At 35.4% G+C, this 16,949-nt stretch overlaps 1 long non-coding RNA gene and 1 pseudogene across 1 annotated transcript in view; one reads left to right on the forward strand and one right to left on the reverse strand.

The window, feature by feature from the left end:
- TEX41 (testis expressed 41) overlaps window positions 1-16,949 on the forward strand; it is a 408,763-nt gene that overhangs the window by 82,855 nt on the left and 308,959 nt on the right. The gene's annotated exons all lie outside the window — the stretch shown is intronic.
- Window positions 3,688-5,283, reverse strand: SGCEP1 (SGCE pseudogene 1; annotated as a pseudogene).

A 16,949-nucleotide genomic window follows, 5' to 3' on the forward strand; every position in this document is an offset into this window, starting at 1 on the left:
CAGAAAACAGAAAAATCAATAAAACCAAAAGGCAAAATTATCAAAATGATAAGTAAAACTAATATACCTTTGGCAGAAAAAGAGGGCAGATACAGTGATCAATATCAAGGATAAAAAATGGGTATCACCCCATTCTCTGTAGATATAAAAAGGATAAAATGGATATTATGAATAAATCTATGTATAATACATAATTCAGTAGGTTAGGTGAAATGAACGATTATTCCAAAACCAAAAACCTCTAAAAACTCTTTTAGGGTGAAATAGATAACCTTAATAGTTTAGTAATGATTAAACTTCCTAACCCATTATTGAAATCTTGTGAAAAAGAAATTTCCGGGACTAGATGACCTTAGTGCTAAAATTTACCATACATGTAAAGAAGAAATAAACTCAAGTCTACACCATCTGTTGAAAAGGAGAGAACATTTCATACATCATTTTATGAGATGAGCATTACTGTGACAAGAAGAAAATACCCCAGAACTTCAGATCAATATCACTCATGAACATAAATGCAGAATCATCAAAATACTAGCAAATCGAATCTGGCAATGTATAAAAGAATAGTATAATGTGACCAAGTAGTATTCATCTAATGAGTGAAAGGTTGGCTTAGTATTTGACAATCAATCAATAAAATATAACTGATAGTCTAAAGAAGAAAAATTATATAATATCAATACAAAAAAGTATTTAAAAATATTTAATATTCATACATAATGAAAACTCTCAGCAAATTAGGAATTGAAGGAAAGTTCTTCAGCCTGATAAAGGACATCTACAAGCTAATATAATACTTAATAGTGAAAGATAGTAATATACATTAATTAGAATGGCTATATTGACAATATCAAGTGCTGACAAGGAAGTGGAGCAACTGGAACACTCATACATCACTGATGGCAATACCAAATATGACAGCCATTTTGAAAACAGTTTGGCAGTTTATTGTAAAGCTAAACATGTCCTTATTACATGACCCAGCAATTCCTTTCATGGTATTTTTTTTTTTTTTTTTTTTTTTTTTTTTTTTAGTAAAGTGAAAACCTGTGTTTTCACAAAACCTGTACGTGAATGTTTATAGCATCTTTAATTACATTGGCCCCAAATTGGAAATAACCCAGTGTTTTTCAATAAGTGAATGGAAAAACAAATCATGGTATAACTATACAGTGAAATATTATTCAGTAACACAAAGAAATAAATTATTGATAACAGAACAATTTGGATAATTCTCATAAGTATTATGCCATGTTAAAAAATTCAGTCTCAACAGTTTACATATTGTTTGATTCCGTCTACATGACATTCTCAAAAAGCAAAAGAATAATAACAACAGAACTGTGTGACATTCTCAAAAAGCAAAAGAATAACAAGAACAGAACTGCAGTTATCGGGGATTAGGAGTCAAGGGGAGGGGACTACAAAGAGGAAGCATGGGAGTTTTTTTAAGAGTTGGAACTGTTCTGTATCCTGATTGTGATGGTGTTTACACTAATCTGTTCATGTCTTAATATTCATAGCAATATACATCTCCAAAAAGTCAATTTTAATTTATATTAATTTAAAAAATGAAATAGAGCCAAAAATAAGCACACAAAGTAATAGTCTTAAAAATCAAATGATAGATTGATTTTTTCATCAAGTTGCTGAAATCATAGCATTGGTAGGCAACTCTTCAAATGAACGTAAAATTTTACACAATTTTAAGTGGAACAATAAAAATAAAAAGGGGATTTGACCAAATTGAAAAAAATAATTTGTCAAATCCCAGTACATGAGACACAATGGAGTACTATTCCACCATTTAAAAAAAAAAGTTAGAGTTGTTTGCAGAATTTATTGTGCTCTTTGTTAGTTTTTTTGTGTACTTTTGCTACTAAAAAATTTCTTCAGGTTTTCCTTGTGAATCCATTAAACATTTCCATTTTATCTTGCTTAAAGTCTACTATATTTTTGGAAGTATATAAATATACTAGTTAACATATGAAATAAAGCAGTTGGCAGTGTTTCTTTGACTAATTTGTTGTTTTCTATTAAAAAAGAGAAAATGAGCGAAACAATGCAACAAGATAGCAATTACATGACCCTTGTCCTCCTGTCTCTAGCAAAGAAAAATATTAAGTTTGTTGCATTTTATTTTCTGTAAAGGTATTAGGCCTTTGCCTCAAAGGTGTATGGTCAGAATAACAAGACATCCTCTTTTGACTTAGCTCTGACCTTCTCTGCATTCTACTCATCCTTTACGGCAAGTCAGCTAAATACACTGCTGGATATTGTTCCCCTTTAGGAAATTCTTCCTGGAATCCTGTAGTAAACTTTCAGAGGAAAAAGGCAAATAAAGTTAAATTTCCTTGAGGAATGCTGAATATAAAAAAAAAGTTAGTATCACTTTTGACTTTTTTCCCAGAAGTTTATCATCAACTGATGTAGACAGATTATGCTGTCTTGATTTAAATTGTCAATTGTCTTCAATTATTCCTAGTTTGAGCTGAATAGTTTTAACCAGACTCCTTTAAAACAGAAAGAATGCTCTTATCTCAAGAAGAACTAATTCTAATACCCTTTTAGTTTATTGTCTTTATAGCTGAATTATCAAAGTAATTAGTGATCATAAGTGATTTGATAGTTTATCATGTGATGTTAATAAAAAATAAGCGAAAATGTGAGAGAATAACTTATCTGCCGTTGAGTAGCAATATTTTTGTGCTGTGGTTACAATGTTAAGCAAACTAAAATAAGCAAATCTTCATGCCAGGGTCTTAGTTAATGTCATTTTGCTTGGCTGAGAAAATCTGAAACTTCTCTGAGCAGACATATTTTAAGAGAGCATTAGGACATGCATATTTTAGGATGCTAATAGAGCCTCTCACCCTTTTTGGTTTTAGCTGCCAGAAATTATGATTCATAGTTCTTGATAGCATAGAATAGAAAACATTGTAAAGGGAAAGAAATTCTAACAGATTGCTCAGGAATGATTTCGGAGTGTCAGTTAATCAAACATTTCTCTTTCATCCCTTTAGGAAAATGCACACTTCTGTTTTGAAAAATAGATCTAGAAAAATCTTTACTTTTGCTTTGGAATGGCCCATAATTATTGATGAACTCTTACTGGTATTAGAAAACTGATTGGTGAAAGAATATATAGCATAATAATAACTTGTAACAGCAAAAATGACACAGCTGAAAAGTTGCCCGTGAAGACTGTTTCAAAAGAACAAAGGATGTGCTTTGTCATTGCTGTTTTTAAGATTCTGAAGAATATAGTGATATTATTATATTGTATTACTCTATTTGTGCTATTGTTCTGGAAAGAAAGTTTAGCCACTTAAAGAAGTACCTTTAATAGATTTTTAAAAATTATTAGAATGTAGAATTTTAAAATTCACGATAACATTCTGAAGCAGTTGTATTATTCTAGAAAGCTCTGGCATAATTTAGATTTAAGGTTGAATAGGAGTTACTTTTTATCATTATAGTTAATGGGCAAAGTATTCTGCACTGAATAACAACTCTTGTAGAAATCCAAACGTATACATGGCTTTGATTGTGATAATACATTTTCTGATGATGCTGGTTCTTGATTAATGTTGACTTTCCCACTTGTGACATGGTTTTCTCTCAAATTCTAGTTGTCTCAGCTAGAATTACCTGTTTAGCTCAATAGATTTCTACATCCTGTTTTTCATTAATAATATTTATTTTAAAGATCACTTTTAATTGTAACAAATATAAAGTCATCAGTGTTTTCCGAATTGTCAATAATGCTTTAAGTAAAAAATACATTAGTAAAATGTAAGTTATATTGTATTATAATATCTTCTACAGTTAATACCATGAACATACACACCATATACCAGAAAAGCTTATGCATTATTGGAAGTGAAAAGAAATGTGATATAACTGCTATATTGTCTGATTATAAATTCATGCTTTGGTCAGTTCTCTTCTTCAGGGATGACATTTACTTGTACTTTGTTGTTGAGGAACCTGAATTGGATGTCACAAATTCTGCTGCATTTGCGTGTTAGTGCTATCATGGTTCTCTGTGTACAGGGAAGGTATGATTTCACCAGTTACAAGTGAGACACAGGAAGTGTTGATGGGGGCCATGCTGTCTTTCTACTCTTGGATGTGTCTTGAAGCTCCTTGGCAAATTTCTGAATAGCACTGTGACAGACCAGTTGGATGTCTGATGTTTGCATGTTTCTCTTTTCTACTCCTTTCTGTCAACAGTGCATGATGTAAGGAAGTACCAGAAAGAGGACCAGTAGCTACTGCTGAGGACACAGCCAGTATAATTAAGAAATCCACGTACTTGTCTGCTTTTCAGACAGTCATTTTGAAAAGAGTTTGTACTCTCCATCATCACTAAAATTCCCCCTCCACGAATCACTTCTGGATAGGTGGCCACTTGCTTTGTTTTATCAACCAAATGAATTTTTGCACCAGTCAATGTAAAACGGAATATACAATTTTTTAGCACATGTTATTACAGGCTCCATTTCTTGACTGCATCTCAATGAATTCTATGGATTTTCAACATCTTGTAATCAAGAAGAAAATGGGACATTGGCACCAATCCTGATGAAAATGTCCCCCTTTGGGCCATTAATAGGAAGCAGAACCATGCTGCCCTATCTAGGGCCAATGTGATGTTTATGGCATTCAGTCCTCTGGCCACAGCACATTTTTCTCCACCCTGACAAAGTTTCCAAGAACCTTTCTGGCCAATATTTCTTACACATTTATATTTTTAATGAAGATTTCTGCTTGATATGGCAACAGGAAGTCCTCTGTTGACATTATATTATCCAATTATGCCTTGCAGTCTCAAAGGTGCACCTATTATAGGCAATTATATCAATGGTAGTTGGTTTCTCCACATTTTCAGTTGTTGGAGAGCCATAAGGACTCTCTCACTATATGGTGTTCTTTGGATGAATAGGAGCCATCCAGGTCTTTCTGAATAACCCTTTCAATTTGTTTTAAATGCTTTGGGATCATCACTAATCTCACCAGGTTTTGGTGAGGTGGAAATTTCTCCTAAAATAGTCATTCCAAAGCATACACCAAAAGGACACTTACAGATGTGTATGCATTCTGATCAGAGTGCACCTTAGAGAAAATAATGAATACTGTCATCAAGAATGTGACAACCATCACAGGCTCATCCCGCGTGTCCCCTGAACTTGTCCTATGCAAGCACAGGGGTCTGCAGGGTACCATCACCAGGGCAATTGCATTATTGGGCTGACGAGGCCAGTAGTCCTCAAATCTTCCCTCCCCTCCCTTCTTTCCTCGCAGCTTGGCTAGTTCTACTCTTTTCTTATTAGAGCACATTTTGTTGTACACAGAAATGCAAAGAGAACACAGTTGCCACTGAGAGCTTTGTAGTGTGATGCTTATTTAGCTTTTGAATGGGCTTTCACACAAAAATTCCTGCTTTGTGGAAATTTTCAGGTATGAGAAAACATCTTACAAAGTAATCCCCTGTTATCCAACTGATCAGTCAGTATTAAAAAAATGCATGTGGAGGATATTGCAGATTGAAGTGTGCAAAGCATTTGTGTTTTAATTAAAATCTTAGAGGAAAAACTCATTCACATGAATTAATAGCAACATTTTTAGCAGGTTGCATAAATGGTGACAAAATTTACATCTTTGTATTCAAGAAGAGTATAGAGTTACTTGGTGAAGATCACTACATATGTTAAATCCTTTCAACATGTGCTATAAATAATAGCACATATTAAAGATCTGTGGCTATTAAATTACGTGAGAGCAAATGACTCATGAGTAATTACAAATACCTGTTCTGCTTCTACTTATCACTTATTTTCTAAAAAGCAGCATGGAAATGAAATGCAAATATAACATAAAAGAGTATAACTTCCTGTTAAATGATGCTTTATCATATAATGGAATATTACAGCCTAATTCAATGCAGGACTAAACGAAGATTGGAAGAAAATGAGAACTCTGGAAGCCAGAAGCCTCAGTCTTCAGAAAGCTCCATACTCTGCATGCTGTTTACATATCTCTTTGTGTTTATGTGGGTTTTTTTCCTAACTATTCCTGTGAAATAGCAAAAGACTTTAGATTAAAATGGATTTTACTAATCATAGAAGTCAAAAAAGCAAGTAAATATGAAAAAAATAGCACAAAGTTGTACAGAAACCATCCATATAACTAAGGAATGAAATGAAGCAAATTTAGCTCTGTTAGAGCTTTTATTATCAATCAAATATATCCTTGATAGTCCTCATCTTTTTGTCTTTTGGGGGGTCCCCCTCCCCCCACCTGTTTGCATTTTGACTTTTTCACCTGACATGGATGAACAATGGGTGTGTTCCTTCTAATACCCTGTCAAAGGGAAAAACCACCGTCTAGGTCTTTGGGCACACAGTCACTTTGTTCCCCAGAAGTGATTGTGTAGCAGCCACAGCATCTTACAATGTTGGAAAGGAAGAGACTGTGTTGCTTGGAGTCTTAAGATACTCTCTGAGGGTCCTTGGAACTCCAGGCTTCCCAATAGGTATCTCGGTGTGAGTGGGTTTTACATATTGACCTTCCAACTCAGATAGCATCTGGAGAAAGGATGTCACTTCTGAGAAAAAGACTGAAGATATCTAACTGAAATAGTGCCTGGAAGTTTGAATGACCTAGGGAAGGGCAGCAAGATGCTCAAGTGCCTCAGACTTCCCAAGGTACACAAAGTGGGAAGCAGCACTGGTAAACTCTTTAGGAAGAATACAACTCACACCTTTTACAGTTTCCATCACATTTCCTTTTAATGATCATTCGTGATCCCTAGCAGGGATTCAGCCATTCCCCAGAATCACACAGCACATGAGTGGTGGGACCAGAAGAGATTTCTGGTCATTTTAAAGTTTAATTTAATTTTTAACTTTTATTTTTGGTTCAGGGGTACATGTGCAGGTGCAAGTTTGTTATATAAGTAAATTACCTGCCATGGGGGTTTGATGTGCAGATTATTTTACCATCAGGTAATAAACACAGTACCTGATAGGTAGTTTTTTGATAATCACCCTCCTTCTTCCCCACACCCTGAAGTCGGCTCTGGTGTCTGTTGTTCCCTTCATTGTGTCCATATATACTTAATGTTTGCTCCCACTTACGAGTGAGAACATGTGGTATTTGCTTTTCTGTTCCTGTGTCAGTTCACTTAGGATAATGGCCTCCAGCTCTATCCACATTGCTGCAAAGGACAGCTCTCATTCTTGTTTATGGCTGCATAGTATTCTGTGGTGTATATGTACCATGTTTTCTTTATCCAGTCTACTGTTGATGGGCATTTAGGTTGATTCTATGTCTTTGCTATTGTGAATAGTGCTGTGATGAAGCTATGTCTTGTGTGCCTGTGTCTTTATGATAGAATGATTTGTATTCCTTTGGGTATATACCCAGTAATGGGATTGCTGGGTTGAATGGAAATTTTGCTGTGAGTTCTTTGAGAAATTGCCAAACTGCTTTTCACAATGACTGAACCAATTTACATTCCCACCAGCAGTGTATAAGCATTCTCTTTTCTCCACAACCTCTCCAGCATCTGTTATTTTTTGACTTTTTTAGTAATGGCCATTCTGACTGGTGTGAGATGGTATCTCATTGTGGTTTTGGTTTGCATTTCTTTAATGATTAGTGATGTTGAGCATTTTTCCATATGCTTGTTGGCCACATGTATGTCTTCTTTTGAAGTGTCTGTACATGTCCTTTGCCCACTTTTTAATGGGACTGTATCTTTTTTTGCTTTTGTATTTGCTTAAGTTCCTTATAGACTCTGGATATTAGACCTTTGTCAGATGCATAGTTTGCAAATATTTTCTCCCATTCTGTAGGTTGTCTGTTTACTTTGTTGATAGTTTTATTTTGCTATGCAGAAGTTCTGTAGTTGAATTAGGTCCCATTTGTCAATTTTCATTGCTATTGCAATTGCTTTTGGGATCTTCATCATGAAATCTTTGCCAGGCCATATGTCCAGATGATATTTCATAAGTTATCTTCCAGGGTTTTTGTTGTTTTTGGTTTTACATTTAAGTCTTTAATCCATCTTGAGTTAGGGTTAGGGTTAGAGTTATTTTGAATCTTGGTTCTCATTCATTGCTGCTCCCAGTAAGCAGAGTGCAGCATATTCACAACTATCCCTGGAGCAGGAGCAAGCTCCCTTCTGTGGTGTCACAAGGATCTGACCTTCATTGGTACTTTTTTCCCAACTGAATGGAGCAAAATTATAAGATGCTCAGCAGCGGGATTCTCTGCTTCCTTGTTCCCCTTGGGCTAGTACAAGAATCCTGGGTAGGCTGGTCTCATTTTAAAACCTATACTTTTCCTCCACTGGACTTTGCTAAGGCTAGAATGGGGGAGGCAAGAAAGGTAGTGGGTAGGGTATGTTAGGTAGCCTTTGACCACAGATCTTGAGGCCTTGTTTTCAAATCAACCTTACCTATTCCAGGATAGCTGTCTTTTTTGGGAGGTGGTGGTCGTGGTGCTGGGGTTTATTTTTTAATTGGTTCTAAACCAAGGGGGACAAAGAGCAACTGCTTATTTAACTGTATAGAAACCTCAAATTAATATTATTTCAGCATGATAAGAATGGGAAAGAGTCCTTAAAGAACTAGGCAATGCCAGTACTACCCCAATCTGCTTTTCAAGTTTATGGCCTATTTCTGGCCTATTTCTGAAGGTGACAGGAACTCAAACTAGGAATATTTCTATTAAGAGAAACCAGCTTTTTACTGGTTTGCCCAATCAAGTACAATGTGTTTGGGTCTACCTAAGCGAAGACCTGCAGGTGTCCCTTCAACCCTTGCATGGTTCAAATCTGATACCTGGGTTGGGGGGGTCATTCCTGCCATTGCTGACTTCCTCATCCTTACACCTAATTGAATAACCAACTCCTGTTAATTCTGTCTTCAAAAGAGCTTTGGAACCCATCTGTATCTCTCCATCATCACCACTATTACTCTATGCTAATCAGTTATCTTTTTTTTTTTCTCCTGTGGAGTTTATCACCACTGGGATAAATTCCTATTGGTCTTCCTGTTTATTGTCTCCTCATAAATTCATTCCTCACATAGCAGCCACAGTGATTAAATCATGTTTGTCTCCTGCTTAAATTCTTTCAGTGGTTTCTTATCATGCAGACAGTAAAATCTAAGCCCCTTGCCATGGTCCATATGGCCTTTTATGCTGTGACACCTATCCATATCCTCCTACTGCATCTTGACCACTCTCATCAATGACTACACCTCATCCATCCTGCTTGTCTTTTAATTCCCTGATGACCTATACTAAGTTCCTTGACTGGGCTGAGTTTTTGCCTGCGTTAGAACCTTCTTACATCTCTCCTGTCTAGAATTTTTTTCCTCCTGCTCTTCCTTTGAGCTTTTATTAAAGACCAACTCTGTTCTAGGCACCATGTGATAGGCATTAAAATATAATGCTGATCCAAGAAAAGTGAAACAAAACATGTCTCCTTGGCAGAAGGAGAGAGTTGAGCTTTACTTTTTAGTAAAAATTTTTATATCTTTGTAAAAGATGTATTAAAACCTTATATCACTAAAAGTTTCAAAATGAGAAAAATAATGCTTATGATTAATAGTGTCTTTTTCCCCAAGTTGTCTCAACAGTAAGTAAGTCCTTGGTGAATTGAACATAGTCTAGCTGGGTCCTCATCTTCCCGCTCTCAGAAGTTTGATTTCAATTGTATACCAAGAGTGAATCCATTTTTCAGTGTGACTGATGTGGACAGTTATAATGCCATTTTATTAATTTAGAGTAAAAAATGCAACTCATAGTCTGATAAACACATTCACTCACTCTGGCCAGATCATACACAGGCACCTAATTTATTAACAGAAGTATGCTTGGTGATCCTAGAATAAGAAGAGGAATATGATGAATCAAATAGTAAATGGGTTGAGGTTGTTGTATCCACCTTCACAATAGAAATGTGATCACCACATAAACAGAATTAAAAACAAAAATCACATTATCATCTCAATAGATGCAGAAAAAGCATTCAACAAAATCCAGCGTTCCTTTATGATTAAAACTCTCAGCAAAATAGGCATACAAGGGACATACCTTAATGTAATAAAAGCCATCTATGACAAACCCATAGCCAAAATTATACTGAATGGGGAAAAGTTGAAAGCATTCCCTCTGAGAACTGGAACAAGACGAGGATGCCCACTCTCACCACTCCTCTTCAACATAATACTGGAACTCCTAGCCAGAGCAATGAGACAAGAGAAAGAAATGAGGGGCATCCAAAACAGTAGGAAGTGAAACTGTCACTGCTTGCCGACAATATGATCATTTACCTTGAAAACCCTTAGGACTCCTCTAGAAAGCTCCTAGAGCTGATAAAATAATTCAGCAAAGTTTCCAAATACAAGATTAATGTACACAAATCAGTAGCTCTTCTATACATCAACAGCAACCAAGCAGAGAATCAAATCAAGAACTCAACCTCTTTTACAATAGCTGCAAAAAAATAAAATACTTAGAAATATATCAAACAAAGGAATCTACAAGGAAAACTACAAAGCACTGCTGAAAGAAGTCATAGATGACACAAACAAATGGAAACACATCTCATGCTCATGGATGGGTAGAATCAGTATTGTGAAAATGACCATACTGCCAAAAGCAACCTGCAAATTCAATACTATCCCCATCAGAATCCATCAGAATACCACTGTCATTCTTCATAGAATAAGAAAAAAGTTCTAAAATTCATATGGAGCCAAAAAAGACTAGCATAGACAAAGCAAGACCAAGCAAAAAGAACAAACCTGGAGGCACCACTTAACCTGATTTCAAACTATGCTATAAGGTCATAGTCACCAAAACAATGTGGTATTGATATAAAACTAGGCACATAGACCAATGGAACACAGTAGAGAACCCAGAAATAAACCCAAATACAGCCAACTGATCTTCAACAAAGCAAACAAAAACATAAAGTGGGGAAAGAACACCCTTTTCAAAAAATGGTACTGGGATAATTGGCTAGCCACATGTAGGAGAATGAAACTGGATCCTCATCCCTCACCTTATACAAAAGTCAACTCAAGATGAATTAAGGACTTAAGACCTGAAACTATAAAAATTCTAGAAGATTACATTGGAAAAACTTTTTTTGACATTGCCTTAGGCAAGGATTTCATGACCAAGAACCCAAAAGCAAATGCAGTAAAAACAAAGATAAGATTGTGGTTCCAAGATGGCTGAATAATAACAGCTCCAGTCTACAGCTCCCAGCATGAGCGACGCAGAAGATGGGTGATTTCTCTATTTCCAACTGAGCTTTGAAGAGAGTAGTGATTCTCCCAGCATGGAGTTTGAGATCTGAGAACGGACAGACTGCCTCCTCAAGTGGGTCCCTGACCCCCGAGTAGCCTAACTGGGAGGCACCCCCCAGTAGGGGCAGAGTCGGTTAGCTCTACTAATATGTGTCTTTGTGACTTTTTTCTTTAAATCATTCAGTGGCTCATTTTTGAATGCACGCATGTTTTTTTAAATTTATTTCTGTTAATACAGTTATTTCAAGACAATCAAATCTTGCAGAACTTGAAAGAACATTTCTTCTTTTAGATGACTATATATGTCTTCTCTCATACACTGTGTGATTAATTAAATTTCTCAAAACGAAATCTGCATTTCAAATATTGAAAATAATTTGCTTAAAAATACTGCATGAATCAACATTCAATTATTCTTTGTAGGCTAGCTCGCTAAAATTGCATTTCAGCCAATCACAGAAGTAAGGAATGTTGGGAGTAACAACTGGGATAGAAGAAAAAGCGTAGAGAGAACTCTAAACATAAATACCATTCTGAAGGTGCCTCTATTTGAGGCACATTGATGCTTGTTGGCTTGATTCCTATTTAGTGTGGACAGTAGAGAGGGTCTGCAATTATTTGAACATTTATGCCCTATCCAAAATTCACAATAAAACTTAAATCCCCTATGCAGTAGTATTAAGAGGTGGGGTCTTTGGGAAATAATTAGACCCTGAGGGTTCTGCCCTCATGGATGGAATTGGTGCCTTATAAAAGGGTTAGAGGGAATTAGCCCTTTTTGCCCTTCCAGCTTTCCACAAGATATGGAGCAGAGTTTGTCCCTTCCAGAGGACCCAGTAACAAGGTGCCATTGTGGAAGCAGAGAGCAAGCCCTTACCAGACTCCAAACCTGCTGGTACCTTGATCTTGGATTTCCTAGCCTTCAGAACTGTGAAAAATAAAGTTTTGTTTTTCATAAATTACCCAGTCTCAGATACTTTTTTATAGCAGCACAAATGGACAAAGACAAGGTCTTTGTTTACTAAAAAATTTTAAACCTGGGCTACTCTTTTTCCAGGTGAAGTGTCTTACTACAAAGCCTTTGATTTGGATTTCAAATAAAAAATTTTAAATTGACTGATTCAATTTTAATTTTAATTATGTATTTATTCATAATTTTTGTGTTGCAGCTAGCTAAAGCACCTTAAATTCAAATATTATTTATTTTTGATTGCATAGTTCTTTCTTTTGCCTATTCAGGGTCCTCGTAAGAACTTCCATTTTATGTTCTTGTCTTCTCATCAGTTTGAGTTGTGTCTTTAACATTGGAGAGAAAAACAACTTGCAAGATTTTCTTTCAGTATGAACCATTCTGAGGTCCTTCAATTCTTTGTAAGTGGTTTCAGAGAAGTTAAAGTTCAAGATCACCATGAATATGGGGCATTGAAAATTCGGGGACATTCTCTTGTGTGTTTGCACCGTCATCCCCTGAAATGCATCTATGGGTTTGTGATTATGATTGAAAAAGAGCAGAAAGAGATCAATTAAGAAAGAAATATTTAGTAACAGACCAATAAAGCTATATTTTCTCTTTACCAAAGATGAGAGTACTGTTAATAAAAAATGGAAATAAATTTAAAAAGGAAATAAATGAAAAACTAAAATAAAAAGTTGATTTACAATTAAGTTAGTTAATTTACAGTTAACTTAAAATCTGTAGTTGGATGTTCTCAATTTTTTAAATGAAATCAGATGACTGGTTTCCAGACTTTTGAAATAAAGTATTTGCTTTGGAATAAACAATCTGAATGTCATTGTAATAACAGAAAACAGGATCATTGGGTAATTTTACAGATATCCTGCCCAGTTTGGGAAGAAAATTTCTTTATGTAGTACTAAATTTATCTCAATCGTGGTAGATCAGTCTTACAATGTAGTGACTTTAGAAAATGAATAAGATAATTTTTATTCCTATTGTCCTGAATATCGAGTAATAAATGTTTTTATAAGATAAAAGCATTTTGCCATACTTTAGCTAAATCTATAAAATCACATACGATATGGAAAACTGTAAGCTTACAAGACTGGCAGGCTGTAAGTTCTTTTTCTGATTCACAGGAATCAGGTTCTTTGAGTTGCTGCCTAAGCTTTTACTTGAAACAAAGGAACATAACTGTGACTTCATATACATTGTAATATTTGAGAAAAGCAACTGTTTTACTGTTTGCCAATGTTATTGCAAGCTCTGGTAGAACTGTGAGTTCTAAACTGGATGGAGAAATACTCCTTCCAGATTTGTCATGAATATGCTAGTTGCCCTTTAAAAGGACCAGAAGGGAACCTCTGCCCAGGTATGAATGAGATTACAGGCAGAATTTTTTGGGAAACTAGGCAAGAGTCTAGATGAATACCATCAGAACAGTGGCTCCAGAGTACCAGTCAGTGGACACAGGCCGATCTGTGATGACATTTTCACTGGATTGAAGTGAAGTGAGATATTCAAGAAAATGATACAAATTTCATTAAGTATACTATTTTTACTGAATTATCCTTTATTGACAGATTCTATACTTCCTACTCTTTTAGTGTTATATGATATAATGATGTAATGGCAATAGTGGATCTGGTTTTATTCTTACCATTTAATGTCCTTCCTTGGCAATTTTTTTTTAAATGGTAACTTTTGTTTTACTTTCTAACATTTTTGGAGATGTTTTACTGGTTCGTAAAATCCCAAAGCATAGAGAGTCCGGGATTAAAAGAATGTTAGCCTACAGTATACACACGTTCTTATTCATCTTTTTGCTTAATGTGACATTATGATCATTAAAATTGATAACTCTGGCCTGATTTAATCTGAGATTAGAAACCAGATACAAGGGAAGTTATAAAGCTATTTAACGTTACCCGAAGCTTCAGATTTTTTCTTTTTTTTGGAAAATTTGGCCAATATAGTTATGGCCTAAATATTGTTAACAGAGGGCCACTGTCAGATTCTGGAAGTGTCTCATAAACAAGTATTACATTTTATACTGGCACAATTTGTTTGTTTGTACATTGTTTATGCTTAACTCTGACAAGTGATAGAAACAGTGGATTCTGCACCTTTAGAAAACATGTTGCCCAGTTAACAAGAACATTTTTGTAGTTTATATGCCAGAGCTAATCTGGGTTTCCATACCTTGTAAGCATACCTCTAAAGACTAAGCCCAGCCCTTCCTTCTTTCGGTAGCTGTCCTGCATACAGCACAAGCCTAGCTTAGCCACTGCTGCCTAAATTGTGTGAATGCACTCAAAAACAGTGACTTGTGCTGCTTACTAAGATGGCTGAAAGGGAAACATAGTTATGAAATTATTGACAATTTAGGTGAAGGAGACTTTAGAGTTCCTTTAAGTCAACATTGCTTGTATTTCAAATTCCTAGACTATCTAAGTTCTCTACAATAGACCCCAAGCATGGGCTAGAAGAGAAAAAAGAGGATGTGGGTGGGAGGGAGCAGCTGGAATAAAAATTTTGCCTCATTATTCTGATCCAAGCTCTATCTGTCTATAAAGACCTTGCTATATTTCTAGGTGGCTCATTTTATTATTAAGCATTAAAAAATCTTCTATATTTTATTCAAAAATAGATATTATCAAACCCTAAATATCTACCTTTATTTTTAAAAGACTTTAAAGCTATAGCTATAGATTATTATAATAAATTATTGACAATGATTTATCGAAAACAAAACATTGCTGAGAATTTTTTTTTACTAAGGGATGATTGGCACATAACTCATAATCATATGTCTAAATATATATTTATTACTTATGACCATGGCTGCATGTTAGTATCAAATGGGGAGTTTGAAACCATACTGATGCTTGGGCTCACCCCAGAGGTTTTAGTTTAATTGGTCTGCTTTGGGCCTGTACCTGACAGTTTTTTTAAAGCTCCCCAGGTGATTCTAATGACCCCGCAAATATACATGTTCTATCTTAAAGCAGGTGCTTTGGAAAAAAAAGTAACTTTACAATGAAACAGCTTTCTTATGTATTATTTGTCCTTATGAAATTTCATTCTAAAGATTAAATTTTAGGTGTGTTTGTTTCTAGAGGATTGAGTTTTAGTGAAAGAAATATTAGAAAGAAGATAACTTTGAAGGGAATCTTGTTCCTTAGTTTTTACCACATCTTTACAATTTCGTCTTCATATATCATCTTTTATTTACTTCCTTCCATCTCTTCTAGAGCTGATTACCAACTCCTACCACTGTTAACCCTCATCCAGGAACAAGCTTATGTCTTTAACATTCTGAGTGGGCTTCAGCATCCTTGCATATGTTCAATTCTTAAAAACCTGTTGAAATAAAAGATCAGGAGACATAGGAAGGATGCCAGAAGAGAGCGTGGTAAGTGGGGGAGAATCTTTCCCCAAGGGATTGGAGGTATTTCAGGATTAGACTATGTATATCTATAAGCATGCATATATATTTATGCCTGTGGTACACATGCGTACCATGTATGTTGTGTTGTGTTCCAGGAATGTGGGAAAAAACACTGCACTGCGTGCTGCTTAAGATTAGGGATCTTGATGTCTTGTTTTGTATACTCATCTTCACACAATGGCAGCATATTGATGCTCAGTAAATGTCAATAAAACAAATGCATGTTAAAAAGAGTAAAGGATGAAGAAAGGTAGAAAGATGTAATTAAGTTGGTTTTCCACATGACAGGACAGAGAGGAAGTAGTTTAGATGTTTTCAGTTGTGCTAGTAACTATCCTCTGCACAGGTAGGGGAATGCTTGGCAGGGTCAGGAAGGTGAGAAAGGAAGCAGTTCAGCAGAAACTGGCCCTTGAGGTTGCATACATAAAGCCTATCTCTATATGACCCATGACCTGGGATCCCTTGTGTCTCCAAAGGAGCCTCGCCCATTGACATAGGAGGCAAGGAAGGCTGAATCATGAATGGACAATAGAAATCTAGATCTCAGCCTCACTGTTGTGGAAATAGGTTTTCAGTGTCTCTCATTCCCCACCAACTAGAAAATGGTACTTCTATATTTCTAGGCGTCTTCTTCCTAAGATTGTTTAGAAGGTAGGGTGAGAAATAGCAGTTTGTCCGAAGAAAAAGGCTTTGTCTCTAAAATGGTCCAGAGAGCGGTTAGATTCAGGGGATCCATGGATTCTAGCTTCTAAGGGTTAACACATTTTCCAGGGCTGCATTGCAGAGTACAATAGGAAAATAAAAAGAACCGTGCCTCAATCCTTTTTTTCCCCTTGGTTACCTGTCTCTCCTCTCCCCCTCTCCCCCTTTTTTCCTCCTCATTCTCTTACTTTTCCTCATATATTATAATACCTTAACTGGATAGATTCTATTTCTCAATAGTAGAGAAATTGAGGCTGATTGCACAGTGTTCAAAGTTATCTATAATTTTATGTATTCTTATATTTTATTATAATTTTGTATATCTTAATAGTTTTATAATTTGATTTCTATTTTTCTTTTGAAAATAATTCAGTATATGGGTGTATACATATGCATTTTTTAAAATCCCAGAGTATTGTCAAATGTTCTATCTGAAAAATACACCTTTTTTTGTTTGTTTGTTTGTTTTCTGTTAAGGTTATTAACATTTTATAAAATGTTA

Source organism: Homo sapiens, chromosome 2 (genome assembly GCF_000001405.40).
Source record: "Homo sapiens chromosome 2, GRCh38.p14 Primary Assembly".
Classification (NCBI taxonomy): Eukaryota; Metazoa; Chordata; class Mammalia; order Primates; family Hominidae; genus Homo; species Homo sapiens.